This window comes from Homo sapiens, chromosome 15 (genome assembly GCF_000001405.40).
Source record: "Homo sapiens chromosome 15, GRCh38.p14 Primary Assembly".
NCBI lineage: Eukaryota > Metazoa > Chordata > Mammalia > Primates > Hominidae > Homo > Homo sapiens.
In genome coordinates, this window is record NC_000015.10 from 34,518,669 (window position 1) to 34,540,364 (window position 21,696).

Genomic DNA, 21,696 nt, shown 5'->3' on the forward strand with positions numbered 1-21,696 from the left:
TTGGGAGGCTGAGGCAGGAGGATTGCTTGAGGCCAGGAATTCAAGACCAGCCTGGACAACACAGCAAAACCCTGTCTCTACAGAAACTAGAAAAATTAGCTGGGTGTGGTTGTGCAGGCTCCTAGTCCCAGCTACTCATAAGGCTGAGGTGGGAGGATGTCTTGAGTTTAGGTGTTCAAGGTAACAGTGAGCCATGGTTGCACCACTGCACTCCAGCCTGGGCAACAGAATGAGACCCTGTCTCTAAAGAAAAAAAAAAAGGAAATAAGTAAAATTTAACAACAAACTGTGGGCCGGGTGCGATGTCTCGCACCCATAATCCCAGCACTTTGCGGGGCCGAGATGGGCAGTTCAGGACGTCAGGAGTTGAAGACCAGCCTGATTAACATGGTGAAATGACGTCTCTACTAAAAATACAAAACTTAGCCAGGCGTGGTGGAGCATGCCTGTAATTCCAGCTACTCAGGAGGCTGAGGTAGGAGAATCGTTTGAACCTGGGAGGCAGAGGTTGCAGTGAGCTGAGATTGCACGACTGCACTCCAGCCTGGGTGACAGAGCAAGACTCTGTCTGCAAATAAAATAAAATAAAATAAAGTAATATAAAATAATTTTTTTAAAAGTTGGGTTTTTGAAAAGACACACAACCTTGACAAACAAAAGGAAACATGACAACTGATACTACAGAAACTCAGGCCAGGCGCGGTGGCTCACGCCTGTAATCGCAGCACTTTGGGAGGCTGAGACAGGTGGATCATGAGGTCAGGAGATCGAGACCATCCTGGCTAACACAGTGAAATCCCGTCTCTACTAAAAATAACAAAAATTAACCGGGCGTGGTGGCAGATGCTTATAGTCCCAGCTACTCAGGAGGCTGAGGCAGGAGAATGCCGTGAACCCCGGAGGCAGAGCTTGCAGTGAGCCAAGATCACGCCACTGCACTCCAGCCTGGGAGACAGAGCGAGACTCCACCTCAAAAAACACACAAACAAACAAACAAAACCTCAAAGGATCACTAGTGGCTATTATCAGCAACTATAGGCAAAGAAATAGGAAAACCTATTAAAAATGGATAAATTTCCAGACACAACCAGACTACCCAGATTGAACCATGACGAAAGCCAAAACCTGAACAGACCAATAACAAATAATGGGATGAAAGTGGTAGTAAAAATCTCCCAGCAAAGAAAAGCCTGGGACCTGATGATTCACTGCTGAATTCTAGCAAACATTTAAAGAAGAACTAATACCCACCTTACCCAAACGATTCCAAAAACAGAGAAGAAGGGAATACTTCCAAACTCTTTCTACAAGGCTAGTGTCACCCTGATACCAAAACCAAAGATATATCCAAAAAAGAAAACTACAGGCCAATATCACTGATGAATATTGATGCAAAAATCCTCAACAAAATATGAGCTAACTGAATTCCACAACGCATTAAAGTTGGGGTGCAGTGTTGCAGGTTCACTCAACCCTTCCCGTTTTCCTCTCTGTGTGTGTCTCCTTTGCCGTGTTCCATGGTGGCAGCGGCGGTGGCAGTGTTGGTGCATGGGCCTCCCAGGGCAAGGGGAAAGTGAGTATGCCCTTTTCTTGCCTCCTGCCAGGCGTCTGCAGCCTGGCACAAGCTCTGGCCAGGTCTCCAAGCAAGGGAGCTGGAGATGTTCTTTTCCAATTTCTGGATTGGTAACTTGAGGCAAATTCTGGGCACTAGAGTCAGAACTTAGACGAGACTGAATCAGGGGAGTCTGGGGTCCTGAGAGGCAGAGGCCTGAAACCGTCTAGAGCCATGTGGGGAGCTGGGTGTGTATTCAGGCCAGTTGCTTTTCTCTGTGCCTCAATGTTCCAGGTACACCTTGGAGGGGCTGAGATCCTAGGGATTCCTGGAGCCTGGCTGCATGGCCTGGCCACCCTGATGCCCTTGTGTTCTCCATGACAGGACAGCAAGGCCGAGGAGAATGGCTCCGACAGCTTCATGCACTCCATGGACCCACAGCTGGAGCGGCAAATGGAAACCACGCAGAACCTGGTGGACTCCTACGCGGCCATTGTCAACAAGACCGTGTGGGACCTCATGGTTGGTGTCACGCCCAAGACCATCATGCACGTCATGATCAACAACAGGCATGCACCGCCTCATGGGAGCAGGGGGCTCCTGTGGCATTGGGGATGCAGGTGGCCATGTTGGCCAGGGGGAGATGCTGGCCAGCCCTATGGGACCAGGTCCAGGGAGGGAGGCACGGTCCAGACCAGATCTGTCTCATAGAAATATAACATGGTACTGAGGACAGTGGCCCATGCCTGTAATCCCAGCACTTTGGGTGGCCAAGGCAGGAGGATAGCTTGAGCCCAGGAGTTCGAGACCAGCCTTGGCAACATAGTGAGACCTGGTCTCTACACAAATATTTTAAAAATAGCTGGGCTTGGTGATGGCACGTGCCTATAGTCCTAACTACTCGACAGGCTGACATTTGAGGGTCACTTTGAGCCCAAGAGGTTGAGGCTGCAGTGAGCGGTGATCTCACCCACTGTACTCCAGCCTAGCAACACAGTGAGATCCTCTCTCCAAAAATTTTATTTAAAAAAACTGAGTAGACAGGTGTCCTGGTGGCATGATAGGTCCTGTGTCCCCTCCCAGATCTGTGACCTTGGACAGGTGACTTTTCCTCTGGACCTCAGTGTCCCTATCTGAGTGAGAAAAGGGCGGTGGGGCGGCAGATCTTTGAGTCTAAGCGGTGTAGAAGCCGCGTGTGCAAAGCCATACTCAGGGCTCCAAGTCCAGCACACTGTCCCAGCACAGGCATCAGGCCAGCACATGCATCAGGTCCCAACCTCCTTCCCTCTTTGCCCCCTCTCAGACCAAGGAGTTCATATTATCAGAGTTGCTGTCCAACCTGTACTTGCATGGGAACCAGAACACGCTGATGGAGGAGTTGGCAGAGCAGGCACAGTGGCGAGATGAGATGCTGCGCATGTACCACGTGCTGAAGGAGGTGCTCAGCATCATCGGTGACATCAACACAACCACCATCAGCACGCACATGGGGGCCCATGGACAACTCCTGGCTGCAGGTGCAGAGCGTCCTTGCCAGACGCAGGTACCAGGGCTGGCCCCCATGGCCCCAAGGCTCCCCAGCCCCCATGGCTGAGCCTGGGGGCTCTTGGAACAGGCTCCGTGCCCAAGCTGGCAGATGTGGGTGGTCTCTGGAGCCGTCAGGGAGCTCGTGGTTTATGGTGTAAGGGCTGAGAGCTTGGAGGGGGTTGTGTGTGGGGCTGTACTCTGAGGTGGCCAGAGGCCCAGGAATGTCATCCTGGGCACGCCATGCCTTTTGTGCTGTCTGAGCCATGCTGCCAGGGTGGGGCATCCAGCTCCCAGCCTGGATGCCTTGGAGTGCTGACAGCCAAATCCACTGCAGAGCAGGGGTGATAGGGTCCCACCTCCTCTATCTGTCGGCAAAACAGTGGTGATCTAGGATAAAACCTCGAGAGTCCCATACACACGGTCAACCCAAAACACACCTCACAGGTCAGGTAGGGGCACACAGCCCCCTTCCCTCCCTCCCAGGTACCATCATAGCTGCTAGCATGTGACTGAAGGCAGGGTCCCTGGGCTCCGCTGAAGCACTACCACCAGCCAGCAGGCTCACGCACCTTGGCTTGTTGCTCCTAGAGGTTGGCCCTGCTATTCAGCCGAGGGGAGCACAGTGCCTGCTGGCCCAGCTGAGCTCTGCCCAGCAAGCCCACCCACCTCCCTTGCCATGGTCTCCCTCTTCTTTCCCTGGGAGGAAGGACCCAGCCTCACCTATGGGACCTGCAATCTCCAACAAGCTGAGGCTCCCCTCTTAGACTTATAAGTTTATAGCCAGTGGCATCCGGCTGCCTGCCCACCCTGCCTCCCCCAGGGTCCCTTCAGAGGGTCCTGAGCTTCCTGACCACCCAGAGGGGGCTCCGGCGATCACTCCAACCATCCATCCCATTTAGCTTCATCATCCTTGTTCGAGCGATGTTCCTTCTGTCAGGCCTGGTGGCTGTTACGTTGGGCTCCCCAAGGTGAGAGGTGGCCCTGGACCAGTTGGTTGGAAGACAGGTTGGAAGACGACTTGGAAGACAAGTTGGTTGGTGACCAGAGAAGAGGGAAGCCCAAAGGGGCCGAGCGTTGGTCTGACCTGTGGGTACACTGCCTGGGTGCAATGGAAGAGGCCAGCATGTGTGGGGTGGGGAGGGCCGCCACAGTCCCCAGGCACTACCTGTGAAGCTCCGGCTCCTCCCTCCATCTTCCTCCCCTTTCCCTTCCAGCCCCTCTTTTCCAGGAACCTTGCCACAGCCGCACCTGCGCCCTCCCCTCCCTGGCCCTCCCACAGCTGCTGTGGCACACCTGTGCTCCGCACTGGCCTCACCAGCTCTCTGCTCCCTTTTGTCTCTCCTCTTTTCTCTCTGCTTTCTCTCCAACTGCCAGCCGATCGGGTCACGCAAGTCCATCCCATCCTGAGAGCCCCACGCCCCCCTTCGACCTCTAAACAGATCCCTCCTCTTCTCGGAGGCCTCCCTTTCCAAGCCTGCCTGGGCGGCTGTTCTGTGACTTGGCAGTGGCTCCCCCAGCCCCAAAGCCAGCCCCCTTCATCTGTGACTTAGTCTGTTGTAGTGGTGAGCTGACACGTCCAGGTGTGACTGTTGTGAAACTTGTGCCCCCCTCTGTGGTATGCCCTCGCATTGTTCTATAAATATCTATAAATACCCATACACACACACACACACACACACACACACACACCCCTACACCTACATGTGGCCAACGGCCTCGCCTCTAGTGCTGGGAATCAGTCACCGTGCTGTCCTCTTGGAGTCTTGTGGCCCAACAAGAGAAAGCTGTCCCGACATTGCCCCTCCAAAGTGCAAGACCTCCGGTGAGTCTCCCTGTCACGCCTGGCCTATGGAGAGTCAGCCCCCGCCATCCCTCCCGCCCCCCACCAAGCATGGGAGTGCTGTGCAGGCAGCTGTGTGGCCTGACACTCTCTACCAGTCCTGCTGTCCCTTGGCTGAGAATCAAACCCATTTCTGGATGACGGGGAAGTGTGTCCTCTGCTGGCTGTGTTCTCTGTGGAGCTCAGGGGAGGGGAAAGGCCAAGCCATTTCTAGGGTGCTGTTTGGAGGGGTGAAAAGGCCATACCCTTTCCAAGGGACACTTTTCCTGGAAAGCCCCTGGAACTTAGCTGGCTCTTGTCCTGTGAAGCCGGCTCTGGCCACCAGGGGGCAGGGCCACGAACTCAGCCTGAAGGGAGCCTGCCGGGCAGCCGGCACTCTGGAGGGACAGAGAGAACAGGCCACCAGGTGCAGACAGGGGAGGGAGGAAGGGGACAGAAGGGAAGACGCCTGGGGTGGGTGGAAGTCAGTGCCCTTAGGTGCTGGTACCTGTCTTCCCGGCCACCGCTACAACAGGCTTCCGAGCCTGTTGGCTGTCAGGGCTGGACTGCGCCCCATAGGCACCATGGCAGTCCCCGTGGAATCCCCCAGGCGCCACTAGGCAGCATACAGGTAACACGCCTGGAAGGTCCCTAACAGCCTAGCTGGACACACTCAAGACACTCTGGGGCTCCTCATTTGGTGGCACAAACTCCAGGACCCAGTGAGTGAAATGGGAACACACCAGGTCGGGCAGTATGGCTAAATCCATATATTCCAAAATAAAAAGCAAAATAAACAGGAGTCGCATCACCAGGGAGCCACAACCCCATCCCCGCCTCCTTCCTCTGTCTTATGCTAGCAATAAATAAGTTTCGCAGCCACAAATAATTATTACAACCTCCTCCCCATGTGCCGGCTCCAACCTCAGCTAGGTATGATACAGGGGCGGCCCTACCCTCTGGAATATACAAAACCTTACACAGACACAATATGTACACCGGGGAACGGGGGCCACCCCAGCAGCCCGTGCCCTCGCCTGGTCCACAGTTAGCCCCACTGTCCTGCCTCTCTGAATAAGAAGGTGGGAGCCCCCCTGAGGGAAAAGTTGCTATGGTGAGAGTAAGGGGGGCATCAGGCCTCCTCCAAACAAACCAACTCCACCAGCCTCTGGCTCTTAAATAACAATCATCATCATCCAGAAATTTAGGGACTCAGCCCTGATCGAGGGGGCAAAGGGTCTGTTTGTCTTTCCCCATTAGACAGAGGTCTTGTCCTGCTACCCTAATTGTAAAGGGGTGCCTGGGAAGGGGTGGTAGGGACATGGTGGCGGTGGAGACTCCGGCCCCACTTCTCCAGGCTTTGCTGACAGGGGCCTGCTTTTAATTTTTATTTTTATTCCATGACTTTTTTAAATCCCATAACTTCTTTTTCATAACTTTGTTTTGGTAACTTTTCAGAAAACGTTTTTCTACTTTTTTGCCACAACAGTTTTACATTTTTTATCCAATAACTTTTTCACCCCATAACTTTTTTAATCCCATACCTTTTTTATTTTGTGTTCTTTTAATAAACACTTGCATAGTTATACTACAATTTTGTGAAAATGAAACAGATTATCTCATGCCAAGCATGCCCAGTATTTGCACAGTATCAATACCTTTAATACTATAATTTTCAAGATGCGCAAAATAAAATTTTAAGGCAAAAACAGCACTTTGCAACAATTTAATAATTTATCACATTACAGTAGCATCACACCAGCAGTCAATAATGCCACTTTAGGCAAAAGTCTTTCAGTATTTCTGTTACACATTCTGTTAACAAGAACCCATACATTGGTAAAATTCATTCTAAGAAAACTTGGCAAACAAAGCTTTGGACTGGAATTGGCATTTCTTTCTCTACTTTTCCTTCCCACCATTTCTTTCTTTTAAACTACAGTATTCATATTTTAAAATGTTTTAACTTATTTCAGAACATAAAGATAGCAGTTACACTTTTAAATATTTATATTATTTTAAAATGACTCTTTAGGATACAGTTTTAAACCCACGGGCTAGAAATCATACCACTATTAGCCACATTATTTGGTCTAATATTTTTTCTTTATTATTCTGAAACTGGGTTTATCTAATACATTGATAAATTCATACAATTCGGAAGAGTCAGTTGAAGTCACAAGGACCCAATATCTGCCCTCTTTCAGTGAATGCCGGCAAATCTGTTATTCCATTGGCAAAATCGTATTGCTGCTCTCCTGTTAATCTCCTATTTATAAAAGGATCATGAGGCTGCCAAGTGCTAAAAATGGAGATGGTCTAGTAACTAGAAAACTCCCCACCCCAGGGAGCACACATACATATCTCCCTACAACCTAATAATGTGATGTGTTTTGGAACACAGACATTAGAACTTCATGAAGTTTTAACTGTTGATTCTTTCCCAAGCATCATCAAGTTATGATTTAGGCAATGTATGATTGAAATGCATTCACTCATCACGCATAGGCACAATCACAGAAATATTGCACAAAATATGTCCCTGACTGAAACTGAGAGGTACAAAAACATATTTCACTCTTCGTAAAGAAGTTTGTGAGGAAATACAACTCTGCGATCGTATAGACATGTTTCCTGATAATACATTGACATTCACAAACAGTAGATTGCAGCACAGTGTGTAAACATTTTCAGTTGCATAAACTTCTCCTTGATTTTCAAAGATAATATAATACTGTCTACTAAAATTCCTTTTTGTTTCAACTAAGTACTCTCACATATATTAGTTTATAATAATGTTTGTTATTATTTTCTAAAGTGTTTTCCACTCAAGGAAAAGAAGTAAATTCCTATGTCAGAGTAACCGAGGTGGTTGAAGAATAGGTATTAGCCAGAGAGGTCTAGATAGTAAAATCAAACTTCAAGCCTCAAAGAAGCTCCATGAACAGAGAGGAATGCCAGGTGTCACACAGCTTTCCTTCACTCTAATTCATTCTTGACTAGAGCCTGTATGCCTGTTTCAGAGACATTTAAACTCTTAAAGGATGTCTTATGATCTTTACTAAATACATTAAGAAGAATGCCAACCAGCGCCCTTTCGTGTACTGGGACAGGTAGTCATGTGATTAAAACAGGGAACACGAACTCTGACTTTAAAATGTATTGTAGATACAAATGCTCTAAGCTAGGAAAGGTTTTCCACATCCACAGCCAACGATGGCAGCCTTTCATTCCTCGGAAATAAGCCATTTTTAGGTCACTGAAAAAGAGTGCAACTGCTGCAGCTCACGATGCAATATCTTCATGAGCCCAGAGCACATACAAATCCAAAGGGAACTGCCACAGTACAGTGCTCATTCTTGGCACCGGAACAGATGAAACACACTGTATCCTGCACATACCTGCCAGAGCAGGCCACTTTCCTCTTCTGCGAGATTTAGAAAGCTCCCCCAAAAGGTTATCACTCCCATCACCAATACACAGAAAATGGAGGAAAGGCTGTTTCCAGTTCTCGGCCTTTAAACAGCTCTAAGTGTCAGTACTCATAGTGGCATATTACAAAGTAATAAACAGTGCACACTTGAGGGCAAACCGCATATTGAGCTATGGAAGAGCTCACTGTGATTAAGATGAGATCAAACATCATAGCAGAACATTAGCAAATTTTATCTGAATTCTGTAATGAACATCCATGCTGCAATAACATTAAAAAAGCACGGGAGCCTATTCCAAACCAGCGAGAACAGTTTTGTGCAAAGAGTGGGTCTTTGTGTGTTTGAACTCCCACCACGTAAGGGCAAACTCGATATGCATGCTAATGACCTACAATTATGAAATGAAAAAAGAAAAATGCTAAAGGATGCCAGAGTGAACATCAGTGAGAGGCACAGAGACCCACTCTCTTTTAACTTTTTACAAATAAACTTAAACTATAAATTAGAAACACAAATAATCATGAGTAGCTCTAACATTCAAATGAAGTAAATGAATTGTGTAGGAGATTAACCCCATAACTTTGTTTCGTTTTTAAAAATTTCTTGAGCAGCTCTTTGATGATGGTGGTGTTTATCTCCTTCTTCTCGGCAGCCAAGCCCAGCAAAAGCATGGCACACAGCAGTTGCTGCCCAAGCCTGGGTGCTCCTGGTGGTCCTGCATCTCACCAAGGAGCTGCAGGACTGGCTGTGCAGTAGGGTTGTCCTGGGAAGAACCCTCCCTGGCTTCTCCTTGTGCAGGCTCCACGCTGTTGGTGAGGCTCGCCTCACAAAGATCTTTGGAGAGAGAGAGGCGGGGATCTGAGTGGAGTGCTAGCCGCCCCCCGCTCCTGCCTGCTCACCCCGCCTGGGGGCTCTACTCACCACCATGCTTGTCGGCAGCCCCGAGCTCCTGGGGGGCTGGGGCTCCTGGACTGGGTTCAGCAGCAGGGTTCCGGGCAGCGGCCAGGAATTTGCCGTGCCCCTCGCTGTAGCTGCCACAAGCCGCAACACCATCTCCTGCAGCTCCAGCAGCTTCACCTGAAGGGACGGGTGCTCAGCTGTCAGGCCGCTGCTGGCGCCCACCCTCATGCCCACCCCACCCACACCCCCACCCCACCCCCACCCCCACAGGGATGTTGCACACCCTACCTTCCTCTCCTCCTTGTCCTGGGCCAGCCTGATGATGGCCTCCTCCCGGTGACGCATCTTTGGCACTGTCCCCTGGCTCTGTTAGAAGGCGATGTACTTTCCTGCGGGAGGACAGGGCTCAGACGCTGGGGCCCCTCCCATAGCCCTGCAGCTCCCCCTGCCGTGCCCTGGCCTCCCACTCACTGATGGCATCTCTCTCTCCGGTACTGGATGAATCCAAGTTCCAGTTTCTCCACATGCTCCCTCAGGTCCGCCTTCTCCTCCAGGAGGTCCATAAGGCCGCTCTGGAGCCAAAATAATGGGGTCACATCTCAGCAGCGACCTGCCCCAGCCCTGCCCTTCTTGGCCCATGCTAGGACTCACTCCCCTCCAGCTTCTCCATGACTTCCTGCAGGGCCCGGAGGGTCTCCCCACTCACAGACTCGCCCCCAGTCCCTGAGGCTGGGACTGCTGCCTCTGGCTCCTTCTCGGCCGAGGTGAGCGTCTCCATCACCTGGCCCAGCTTCTCCTGCAGCTCCTTTACTTGCTGCTCCAACTGCAGTGCGCTCTTGTTCTCGTGCTTCTGGACAGAGAGAAGCAATCAGCAGCCACCCACTGCAGCTGGAGACCCCAGAACTTGGTGTCTGCCTCCCATGGCACCGGGAAGGGTGGAGCCAAGTTAGAAAAATACTCTCCTCTCTCCCACAGCCACCAGAGCAAAGCTCTGGCTCACAGGTGCCTTTGGAAGTAATATTTCATGTGAGGGCTACACTGCCCCATTTTACAGGTGGGGAAACAAAGGCCTGGAGGGCTAGGGAGGAGGGCAGGCTCCCCAGGTGGGGCAACCCACCAGCTCCTCCAAGTCGCTCTGTGGCTCGGCCAGCTGCTGAAGCCTCTTCTCCCGTTCCCGAAGCCTCTCCTGCTGCTCCTGAAGCCTCTCCTCCTGCTCGCGAAGCCTCTCCTTTTGCCCACGGTTCAGGAGACTGATGCACTGATTGTTTTCCACCTGAGCCTGGAGCTCTCCTGCCACTCTCTCCAGCTCCTTCCTCAGGTCTTGCAGCTCCACCTCAGAGGACACTGCTGGGGCATCCGGGGGCAGTGGCTCAGCTGAGAAAGGAAGCAGATCATAAGGGCCTCTGGATTCTCAAAACAAAAATCAAAACAGAAAAAACAACAAAACACCCTCCTGTTGGCGCACAGCTCCTCTCAGGCTCCCAAACTTGGCTTCACTGCTAACGATCCCTCGCACCCGGATGGTAGCCAGTCTTCCAAACCACTTTCAGATAGAGAGCACTGCGGGTGGCTGACAACGGGCCCTCTTTGCTCATGGGGACACTGAGGCTCAGGGAGATGACAAGACTTGTCTCCTGGCACAGACCTCTTTCCCTCTGCCTCAAAGCCCTGCCATCCACCCACCTCCCTGGGGCACTCTAAGCCACCCCCACAGCCCTCTGATGCCAGTCCTGCTCCCAGGTCATGCCAGCCCCATCTTACCCATCTGGTTTTTGAGTCTGGACAAGCTCCTCTCCAGCTCCTCTACCCGATGCGTATCATGCTTCTTCTCCTCCTTCAATGTGCAAACCTGCCCAAAGCACAGGGGGAAAGGGCCCTGGAGAGAGGGGCTGGTGGCTGGACAGGCTCCCATCTCCCTCTCTGCCCCCACCTCCACAAAGCCCAGACCCAGGACCACCTCTGGCTGCACTATTCCCATTTTAAAGAGGCCCAGAAAGATCCAGTGACCTATCTTAAGTTGTTGGTGGGGGGGGGGTGGGGCGGGAGGCTGAAGGGTCAGATCTCACCTCCTGCGACATTTTCCTCATCCTCTGCTGCCACTGGGCCCTCTCTCCTTTTATTTGTTCAGCATATTGATCTCTCTCCAGCTGGACTTCTTTAAGCGACTCCTTCAACTGCAAGAATGGCCACACAAGTTAGGAAGGGCCGTCACTGGTCCTCACCTGCTCCTGGCCACCTGGGGTCATCTTCCTTCCACATCCCTCCCTCTGCAAAACCTCACCTGTGTCACGTGTCCTTTCAGCAGTATCTGCTCCCGTATGGACTGCTCTAACTGCCGCTTGAGAAGTGCTTTACTGCGGCTCGAGAACTGGATGGTGAAGAGTGAGAAGTTTCGATCTGGGGAGCCTGGGCCATTCCACACAGTGCCCCTTAAAAGGGCTAGGGCTAGGCTCAATATACAACTCGGTCAGTAAAGATCAAGGCATTTCCAAGCCCGTGGTCTGGTTTTGAAAAAAACTCAGTGAAGTTGGAAGGGACAAGGAGAGAGATCAGATAATATTGCTATTGTTATTACTCCCACTGTTTGAACCTTTATGGAGTGCTTCAGCAGGTACCTTGCTAGCAATCCCATTTAATCCTCGCAACCACCAGAGGAGACAGTTACTATGATGCCCTCTCTTGGGTAGATGAAAAAACATGGAGTGTTTGAGGTTAAGTGCTTGCCTAAGATCACTTAGGCAGAGCTAGGATTTGAACACCCAGGTCTATCAGATTCTCTAAGCCCATTTTTCTGCTGGGGGTGGGGGCACGGTTAGGAAGGGGAAAATTAATCTTTTGTTCACTTTTTGAAAAGATGATACATTCACATAGTCCAAAACTCGGAAGGTATCAAAGGGAAGTATCTCCCAGCCACCCTGCTGCTCTCTCCTGAGTTGTTTACGAACACTTGCAGACATGTTTTATGTATATTATCATACTATGTACACACACACACACACACACACACGTTTCCTCTCTCTACAGAAATGGGAACATACTAAAGGTACCCTTCTGTACCTTCACAGTACAAGTACCCAATACCCCACACCCCACCTAGGACTTGGCCAAGACCACAGCCAGGTAAGGGCAGGGCAGGCACTTGGCCTCCAAGCTCTGCATCCAGTGCTCGCTCCCCACCGCGCCCCCCGACTCACCCACAGCAGCTGACTCAGCCTCAGGCTGCCTCTAACAACCATACACAAAAGCAGTGAGAAATGGCCATGCTGCCTTCTGGGCAGGACACTCCATCCTGCAGAAGGGACCTTTAGGCTCACTCCTCCATCTGTGAAGCCGGGCTCCCAGGGGACAGGGCAGGTGACTGGACTCACCCCATCCGGCTTCTTCTTCTGTGTGGCGGCGACAGCACAGAGAGACCACTCTAACTCTCCTATACGCTGCGATGAACGTTGCAGGCGGCCGGCCAGATCCTTGGACTCTTCTGTAATGACAGAGTTGACATGGGGCTCAAAGGACTCCGCCTTACAGACCTGTCAAAGTGCCAGGTTGAAGGATGACAGGGTGCCCAGATTCCCACCTTCAAAGTATCTGAGAGAATGTTTCATGTGATACAGGTCCGTATTTAGTTTCTTTTTCTCTGTGTTCAATCTCTGGATTTGACCCTTTGGGAGAAAAGCCAAGCAAGTGCTGAAATAGAAGGAAAGAAACATTCTCCGGAGGACAGGAGGAAACTTCACACCCTCCACTCACCTCTAGCTCCCTTTCAGCTTTCTGTTTCTCATTGTTTGCTTTCTTTTCCTATAGGAAGAGGAAGACAGAGCTCTTACCAGGGGGAGGCAGAGAAGGCACAGCAAGAGATATGCCCCCAGAATGCCACCAATGCCCCAGGACAGGCCCACCCATGGGACCCGGTTATCAGGGACCCTGTGGGGATGGGGTGGAATCTGAGGGGTGAGCCTCCTTCCCCAGGCTGGGAGTGGGTGAGACGAGACTGGGGCCTCTACATCTGAGTGTCCCCCAAACCCAGCAGTCATGTCGCCAGCAAACAAAGAAATCACGTTACTTCTTCCAGCTGATGTTCCACTTGTTTCTTCTGTTGTTTCTGTGGGGAGAGTCAAATTAAAGTGATGGAGGGTGGCCCCCTCAACTCTATTCCCCAGACAGGAAGCGGCAGGCAGGGGCCAGGAATGGATTTTAAAGGCAAAGTTCTCAGACCCAATGGGAACAGGAACTGTTCCCAAGCTCCCAAGGACAGAGGATTTGGGTCTTTGTTGGTTTTCAGCCACAGCCTCACAACTCAAAGTCTGAATCAGGAATCTCTTGAGAGGACAGTAACATAAACCTCTAGAGATGGAGTTTGAGAAAGGCTCCCCCTTCTGCCAGCTTGTGATTTAGAAAAGTGTGTTCATTCAATAGACATTTACTGAGCACGTACGGGCCAGGGACGGTTCTTCACAGCCGATATAGGATGGAAAAGAACAGACAAGAGCCCTTGGCCCTGAGCTTTCCATTCTAGGGGGCCTTTAAATCTCAGACTCTCAGAGCTAACAGAGACCTTTGATACTCACTACCTCCTCTGGAAACACGAGCCCAAAAAGGAGAGGTGGCTTGTCCAGAATCAAAGAGCAAATTAGGGACTGAGTCATGGCAGAAATACGGGGCCCCTGACAACCAGTCAGGCCAGCACTTCCCCAAGAGGCAACAACCCCAGGGCGTGTGTAGCAAGGACTCGAGTAGGGGTGCCTGGAGAGGAGAGAGTCGGCAAAGAGGGCAGCAAAAGAAGAGCCATGCTGCATGCTCTGGGGTCCCGCCAGGTGAGGCCTGGGCGCCCCAGCTCCCTATCTGCCCTTGGCACCAGGGGCCCCCAGCCCCCTTCTTCAGGGCCCCAAGGGGAAACCGGAGCCCAGGATTGGCAGCGTGGAATCAGGGGACCCCACTGGACTCTTACCAAAGATTTGATGGTGTCATTCAGTCGACTGATTTTTATGGACCTCGAGTTCAGGACTGCTGCTTGTTCTTGGCACGGGCTCTGACGCGCATGCAGAGAGGAGGAGGCGGAGGAGGACTTGGGGGAGAGGTAGAGAGAACGATCATTAGGGCTGGGTTGTGTGTGGGCTGTCTCAGCTGGCAGAGGGGCACCCAGTCCCCGCTGCGGGAGGAGGTTGGAGGGCTGGCCTGCGGGGTCACTGCACCTCCACCCAGAGCCTCCTACCTCCAGATCCTTCAGGGTAGCAGATGATGTAGGGCCCTCCCCGTGGATACCTGTTGCTGACTATAAGAGATGAGACTGCACATGGAGATGTTCTGTCCCCCTCAGTGTCTGAGCCCTCCGACTTCCTTTCTTCCCCATCAACTGGCAACATTTTCTTTTCTGCCTATCTTGGACCCTTTGTCCCATAACTCCTTTGTGCCAACTTCTCTCACGGTTCTTATCTCCCCACCATCCCACCCTGGGGGCCTTGCAGTGACTCCTGATGGGAAGTGGCTGTTCTCATTGTCCTGGCTTCCCCTTGAGACTGGGGATGAGGAAAATCAAACAGCAAAGACCATATCCTGGGTGTCCTGGGTGTTGACAGCAGGCCATGTACTAGGGATTAACATAAAATCGACAATTATCAATCTCATTGAAACTTCACAAATACAAGTCAAACAATACCACCTCTATCATACAGACGTGAAAACAGAGGCCCAAAGAGCTCAAGCAACTTGCCCTAAATCATATCCCTAGCAGACGGAGAGGCAGGATTCAAACCCAGAATTCTTTTCTTTTTTGAAACGGAGTCTCTCTCTGCCTTCCAGGCTGGAGTGCAGTGGCGTGATCTTGGCTCACTGCAAGCTCCGCCTCCTAGGTTCACGCCATTCTCCTCCCTCAGACTCCGGAGCAGCTGGGACTGCAGGCGCCCGCCACCACGCCCGGCTTTTTTTTTTGTATTTTTTAGTATTTCACCGTGTTTGCCTGGATGGTCTCGATCTCCTGACCTTGTGATCCACCTGCCTCGGTCTCCCGAAGTGTGGGGATTACAGGCGTGAGCCACTGTGCCCGGCCAAATCCAGAATCCTTCACCAGTACCCAACAGTCCATCCACAATCTTAACGATTGCCCTCTACTGCTCCTTGGGCCCCCTGTCCCCAAAAGCCTGTCCAGGCAAGACTCACAGCCTCAGATGAGTGGCAACCACCAGAAGCGGCCGTCTCAGGGCTACTGCCATTTGCTTTCGTGTTCCTCTTCGCTGCTGCTGGAACACCAGGGCGGTTTCTCTGCCAATATTCTTTGAACTGTGGGAAAGAAGAGCAGTAATACTCATGAGAACTATCAGCCCCTACAGCCACATCCTCCTTTATAGTTTTTATAAAATACTCTTATATACCATCTGATTTAATGACACCAACAACTCTATAAGGTGTCACAATCATTTAGGGACTGAGAGGGATCGACATCATGGCTAGAAAAAAAGAAAAAAGAAAAAAGCGATACTGGAACTTGGAAACTCAGTCTTCCCACTCTAAGCTCTGGGGTTTTGCCAGGCACCAAACCCAGAGGCAGAGGTAGAAAAGTAAACATTAAGTAGGCAGGAGCTGTATGTCATGTGGTTTAGAGTCGTACATCTTCACACGTCTGTTATTGGGAAGAAGTGCACCAGTACCTCTCAAACTTTTATATCAATGTGTCCTCATGGCAGAAGGCAGCCTTTCTGTGAAATCTGGGAATTTATCAGAAAGAGGACAACCCAAGCCTCATTTCAGAGAGAAGTCTGGTATACTCTTAGAAACCTATGGGACTGCCATCCCTAAGTACATTCATGTTTTTTCTCTTATCTCAAGATATCTCAAGAGAATCAAAGGAAACTGATGCTTCAGAAAGATGTCCCACATTTATCCTGTGGTACTCAAAGCACCCCAGCTTGAGATAATATGAGGAAGATTCAAACTGTCAAGTTCAGTCTCCCAAGATCTATTCCACAGAAGATGAGGAAATCTCACTTCAGAGACCACTGACTGAAGGTCCCAGACTGAAGTCTGGTCCCAGAACCATGGAGAATTAGAATATGAGGTGGAGAACTCGGAAAAAAATGTTAAAATCTCTTTGGAAAGTAGAAGCTTGGGAGAAAAACCAAACCAAACCCATTCTCCCATCGCCACCCAGAGACACTGTCAACGTTTTGAGCTCACGGGGGAAGTGTAGGCTTTTCCCACTGTCAATGTCTATGGTAAGGGAGTAAGGCAGCCTGAAACCTCTTGCTCCCAGGTCCCATAGTCTCCATTTCCCTTCCAGCTGGAAATTTCTGCTGTGACCAGAAGAACCAGAAACGGGGTGACAACGTTTAGGGGACTGGGTCATAAGACCAGGGCCAGTCTTCCAGTAATGACAGTTAGTAGGCAGACTGTGACATCACTACATTCCACTCCTCCTAGTGCGGGGGAGGGACCACATCAGCGCGATGTCCGAGTCTCCACTCCACAACGCGGGAGGGAAACACAGGGTTGTGACCCAGGTCCTTGGAGACGCCAGCACAAAGAGCTCAGGGAGGTCGACCTTGAGGCAGCAGGAGGGGAGGGCAGAGTCTGCAGCAGGGAGCCCCAGGAGTCACCAGCCCAAAGTCACCCAGGGACAACTGGCGAGGGCGGGGCCTGGGGCTGGGGGGCCCAGGTCCTTGGATATGCGAGCCCAAAGAGCCCAGGGAGGTCCAACTTGGGGCGGCAAGAGGTGAGGGCCCAGTAATGGAGTGGGGCGCCCCAGGAGTCACCCGCCCAACGTCACCCCGGGGTGATCGGCGAGGGCAGGGACTGAGCTGTTTGCTGAAGGGGCAGGGCTGACTGACAAGACTTTTGTAGGGGGAGCCCAGAAGCGCCGGGGTTGGGGGGCAAAGTCCGGTGTGCGTCAGGAGTAGTATGGACTGTGGCAGCGGTCTTGTCGTCGGAGGGGATCTGTGGCTGGGTTAGCGGGCCATGACCCGGTACGTCTTTACCTTTTTCTTGGCTGCAGCTAATTTACTCTGTCCAGTTTCTTCTGCCATTGTGGGGTGGGGAGGGAGGCGGGGCTGGGGCCACGTCAGCCAAATCCCAGCGAGCGCTGATCAACACATCCAGTCACCTGGAAGACAGCTGCGTAACTGACCCAGAGGCAGCGTAACCAGGGCCACAGTAGAATGCAGAATAGGGGCGTGGCCTTAATGCTTCAAGCCCATTGGCCAACGAGAAAGATGACAGGGAAAGGGGGCGTGGCCAGGCGGCAGTGTGTCCAGAGGGACCTGTGGCTCATCAGGAAAGCTGCCCATGCAACCGCTGTCCCCACCCACTCTGAGAGAGGGGAGGGGCCGCCCGCTCTGGGAGAGTGGAGGGGCTGGCTTTTGCTTTAAAACCCTTAAAACTTTAAAAATCATATGTGTGTATACTTTATATATATGTGTGTGTCTCTCTGTGTGTATCCATGTGTTCCTCCAGAGCTGTCTTCATTAACCAGCTTCTATGCAAGGTCTGTCATTTTGGCCTATATTTTTCATCTTCAAATACTGTATAAAAATTACCAGTATTACCTGAACTGAGATACAGATCCTATAAAAGTGGGAAATCCACAGCATGCTTGATGATTAATGAAGCAGACTATATTATCCAACATTCCAATGAGATAAAATAATCAAAATGATTTCTTTTTTGGAAAAATGTTTCTCTTATTCTCCTACATTGTTGCTGTTTTTTCTTTTTAAACAGGAAACATGGTTAATATCCGTAAAAACACAAAGCTTTTGGGCTGGGTGCGGTGGCTCACACCTGTAATCCCAGCACTTTGGGGAGCCCGAGTCTGGTGGATCACCTGAGGTCAGGTAGTGGAAGTGTGAGCCATCACACCCGGCCGGCTTCATTTCAGAACTCTTTCCCCAGCACTCCATATACTATGAATAATTCCTTTCTTCTTCTTTGGATAGCATTTTAGTCATATCTCTATTACCCCACTTGTCACATGATAATCAGTGGCTCACCCATCCATCTCCCTTGATTGCTCATGAGCTCCTTGAGAAGAGTCTGATTTTCAGCACCTTGAACAGTGTGCCACACATACATGCTTCATACGCAGAGAAGGAAATGATTTCACTACAGTGTAATTATTCCCAGAATTCAATATCTGTATTTCTAAATTGTTCTAGATACTCTGCCAACAACCTGAGAATGTTATGTTTTTTCCCCAAAACTTCCATCCATTATTGTGTGTCTATGGTCATAGTTAACTCAATTGTGACGTCACCTTTGGACAAGCCCATTAACAGTTTCTTTTTTTTTAGGTGATTTTTAATTTTAATTTTTGATTTTGATTGTTTCTTTTCTGTTTTTTAAATCTAGCAGTGTTTGGTAAACTTCAACATCTCTATATCCCCGTGTCTCTGCCCCGCTGGTCTCTGCTTGGAATAATGTCTCAAGGTTTTAGTCACCTGGAAAAAATTTCTACTCACCCTTAAAGAATCAGAAATAAATAGGCTGGGCATGGTGGCTCATGACTGTAATCCCAGCACTTTCGGGAGGCCAAAGTGGGCGGATCACCTGAGGTCAGTAGTTCCAAGACTAGCCTGCCCAACATGGTGAAACCCCGTCTCTACTAAAAATACAAAAAATAGCTGAGCATGGTGGCAGAGGCCTGTAATCTCAGCTACTCGGGTGGCTGAGGCAGGATAATTGCTTGAACCTGGGAGGCAGAGGTTGCAGTGAGCTGAGATCGTGCCATTGCACTCCATCTTGGGTGACAGAGTGAGACATCATCTGAAAAAGAAAAAGAAAAAGAAAAAGAAAAGCTTAAATAATACCTTCTCTGAGAAGCCTTTATATCTTCCTATTCTTTCAGGAAGTGTTGAAAATTCCTCAACTTTTGAAACATTTGTGCCTCTATTACTGTGTATCAGGCAGTGAACTGAGTGCCCAGGATAGAAAGATGAAACTGTAGATCCTGCCCTTACGGAGCTCATGGTCTAGTATGGAAAACAGCCATATGAACAAATAACCACACTATAGGTCTTCAGAGCTCAAGTCCTATCCTAAATACTGTGAAATTAATGTTCTGTGAGGTTTTGAAAGTACTAGGGCCAGAGACAATATGGCTGCTTGGATGACTTTCCATCCAAGTTAACATTCGGCCCTCATCACAAAGGGAATACATGCGTGCATCTTCCTTGCAACCCACCAGTGCCTAACACATCATATCACCACTTTTGAAATCAGGAAACAGGCTCAGAAGTCCAAGAGCTTGACCAAAGTAACTCAGCTGGTAGGTAGCAGAGCCAGGTCAGTATGATTCTTCTTCAATATCCTGCCAGCCACATGGGCAAGTGGCCTCAAAATCAACAAAAGACAGGTAGAGGTTGACATGCATCAATGGAGAGAGGCTCAAAAGGAGGATTTTATACACAAGAATAGAACAGAAATGTTCTGGAAGTATATCTGTGGATGTGAAGCAGGAGGGGGCACACCAGGTTTCACCTTGGTCAAGTGAATCTATAATTCCAACCGGGGCCTCGCCGCCCCCCACCCCCCCGAGCTCCAGACTTAGCTATCTGTCTTTCTTACTCTAATATAAAATCCACAGGGCAGGACCTTAATCTCTAGCTTGTTCACACAGATTAAAGCAGAGTCTGGCTTATAATAAGGACTTAATAAATACATGAATGAATAAATAAACTATCAAAGAAGCTAAAGAAACATTCCACATTCTTGCGGGAAGGGATTACCATGAAACAGACCCTAGCAGTCACTTACAAATACAGTTGACCCTCATCATTGGAGTATCCCATATTTTCAAATTAGCTTACTTGCTAAAATGTCTTTCTAAGTCCCAAATTAATACTTGTGGCACTTTCAAGGTGGCTCCTGGATAGACATGCAGTAGTGAAAACTCTGTCACTCTTTGCACACGTCCCAAGCTAAGGTCAAACAGTGACCTTGGTCTGCTTGTTTCAACTCTCATACAAAGATGACCTGAGGACAGAGACAGTAGAGGACACTGCAGGGTAGCGCAAGAAGCTGTGGCTCTGGGGCCAGTTGGGCGGGGTCTGAATCATAACACTGGCACCTGTTAGTGGAGTGGCCTCAGACAAATCACTTACAATTCTGTACTTCCGTTATTCTTTTGGAAAGAAAGAAAATTCAATCTACCAGGATGAGTTGTTTTTAGGAATTAAGATGATAACCTATATGACATATGTATTTATGTACATATTTACCCTGGAAACAAGGGTTTGCTATTTGATTAATTCAGTGTTCCAGGCAACTTTGTAGAATATTACTCCTGCAAATAGTAAGAATTGGCTGTAATTAAAGAAATAACAGAGATGTAGACAAAACAATTATTTGGGTGAGCTACAGGCAGTCTTCAAGAAGCTTCTGAAGAAACAGAACTTCAGCAGGCACTTAAGCTGTAGAAAAGGCTTGCAAGGAGATAGAACAGCATCTACAGAGAGAGGTCCAGGTGGGGTCAGGAAATGGCATTTCAGGAAGTCTAGAGCAGTAGAAGATGAGGCCAGAACACGGCGCCACAGTGCTGCTCTGCACCCTCTATACACCCTGTACTGCAGAACCTCACTCTCTGCATTTAGTTCTTGGTTTCTAATTCTCTCTTCCATTAAACTGTGAGCCCCTCAAGGTCAAGGTCTCTAAGAAGAAACCATAGCTACAGTCCTCTAAATTTGAAAACAAGTTATTAAACACAGATACACCCAAGAAGACCGTACAAAAATAATGTTGGATTTCAATTGCAGTCATAGAAATTCACAACTGGTATACATTTGCAATCTGTCCAGGATTTTTCTCTGATGACTGCCGTAACTCTGTCATAAACCCTTTTCATTATTTGAGACACCGAGACATTTGTTAGAATGTTTGGGAAAGACATTCTAAAAGGGCAAGAAAGACCTTGATCTTTTTTGTGTAACTGATTGACTGGTTGACTGACTGAGATGGGATCTCATTATGTAGCCCAGGCTGGTCTGAAACCCCTAGGTTCAAGCGATACTCCTGCCTCAGCCTCTCTAGTGGCTGAGATTACAGGCGCACGCCACCATGCTGGGCTCTAGTGTGATGTATTTACGAGGCTTAAACATATGGTTCATTACACAAGGCTGGCACCTCAGAGTAAAGATTTTTTAAAGTTCACTCTAATAGACTTATTTCTCTATATGCAAGATACAATTTTACCACAGTAAAACACAAGGAAGCATACTGATATACATATATGTTACAACAGGATAAAAAAAAGCAATATAATTTTCTCCACAAAAGCTTGCAAAATCCTGGCCAAAACACAGTAAAGAGGATGTTAATCTCACAGCTCACGTTTCTCCACTGAGACCCAGGAAAAACAATGCCAGTTTTTGTACAGTCACAAAACTAAGCACTGTGAGAATTTACAAGATTTGGTTAACTTGTATATTCTCCCCACCCTGACAGACAAGTCCCAAAGGAGCCTAGCAGTTTTACCCCAACATTTC

The 21,696-nt window shown here is 49.5% G+C and overlaps 1 protein-coding gene, 1 non-coding gene and 1 pseudogene across 3 annotated transcripts in view; 1 reads left to right on the plus strand and 2 right to left on the minus strand.

The window, feature by feature from the left end:
- Nucleotides 1,939-4,954, plus strand: DNM1P5 (dynamin 1 pseudogene 5; annotated as a pseudogene).
- A 1,472-nt stretch (nt 4,955-6,426) lies between these two features.
- The window catches only part of GOLGA8B (golgin A8 family member B), a 58,557-nt gene continuing 43,287 nt past the window's right edge, over nt 6,427-21,696 (minus strand). Inside the window, exons 8-24 of one of the 2 annotated variants that reach the window (NM_001023567.5) lie at nt 18,676-18,979; nt 17,197-17,321; nt 15,386-15,505; nt 14,178-14,294; nt 13,293-13,331; nt 12,980-13,027; nt 12,807-12,891; nt 12,601-12,710; nt 11,514-11,600; nt 11,299-11,406; nt 10,994-11,081; nt 10,350-10,606; nt 9,939-10,082; nt 9,704-9,804; nt 9,521-9,621; nt 9,254-9,409; nt 6,427-9,166 (exon numbers count right to left, since the gene is read on the minus strand). In NM_001023567.5, the coding sequence (NP_001018861.3) occupies nt 8,964-9,166; nt 9,254-9,409; nt 9,521-9,621; nt 9,704-9,804; nt 9,939-10,082; nt 10,350-10,606; nt 10,994-11,081; nt 11,299-11,406; nt 11,514-11,600; nt 12,601-12,710; nt 12,807-12,891; nt 12,980-13,027; nt 13,293-13,331; nt 14,178-14,294; nt 15,386-15,505; nt 17,197-17,244 (1,812 nt within the window). In that variant the 5' untranslated portion in view covers nt 17,245-17,321; nt 18,676-18,979 and the 3' untranslated portion in view covers nt 6,427-8,963. Of the gene's footprint in view, nt 9,167-9,253; nt 9,410-9,520; nt 9,622-9,703; nt 9,805-9,938; nt 10,083-10,349; nt 10,607-10,993; nt 11,082-11,298; nt 11,407-11,513; nt 11,601-12,600; nt 12,711-12,806; nt 12,892-12,979; nt 13,028-13,292; nt 13,332-14,177; nt 15,506-17,196; nt 17,322-18,675; nt 18,980-21,696 lie in introns of both variants that reach the window. The other variant, NR_027410.2, reaches the window with a different exon arrangement.
- MIR1233-2 (microRNA 1233-2) lies at nt 9,622-9,703 on the minus strand. The gene has a single exon (NR_036261.1). It is a non-coding gene; the product is annotated as a microRNA 1233-2 (primary transcript).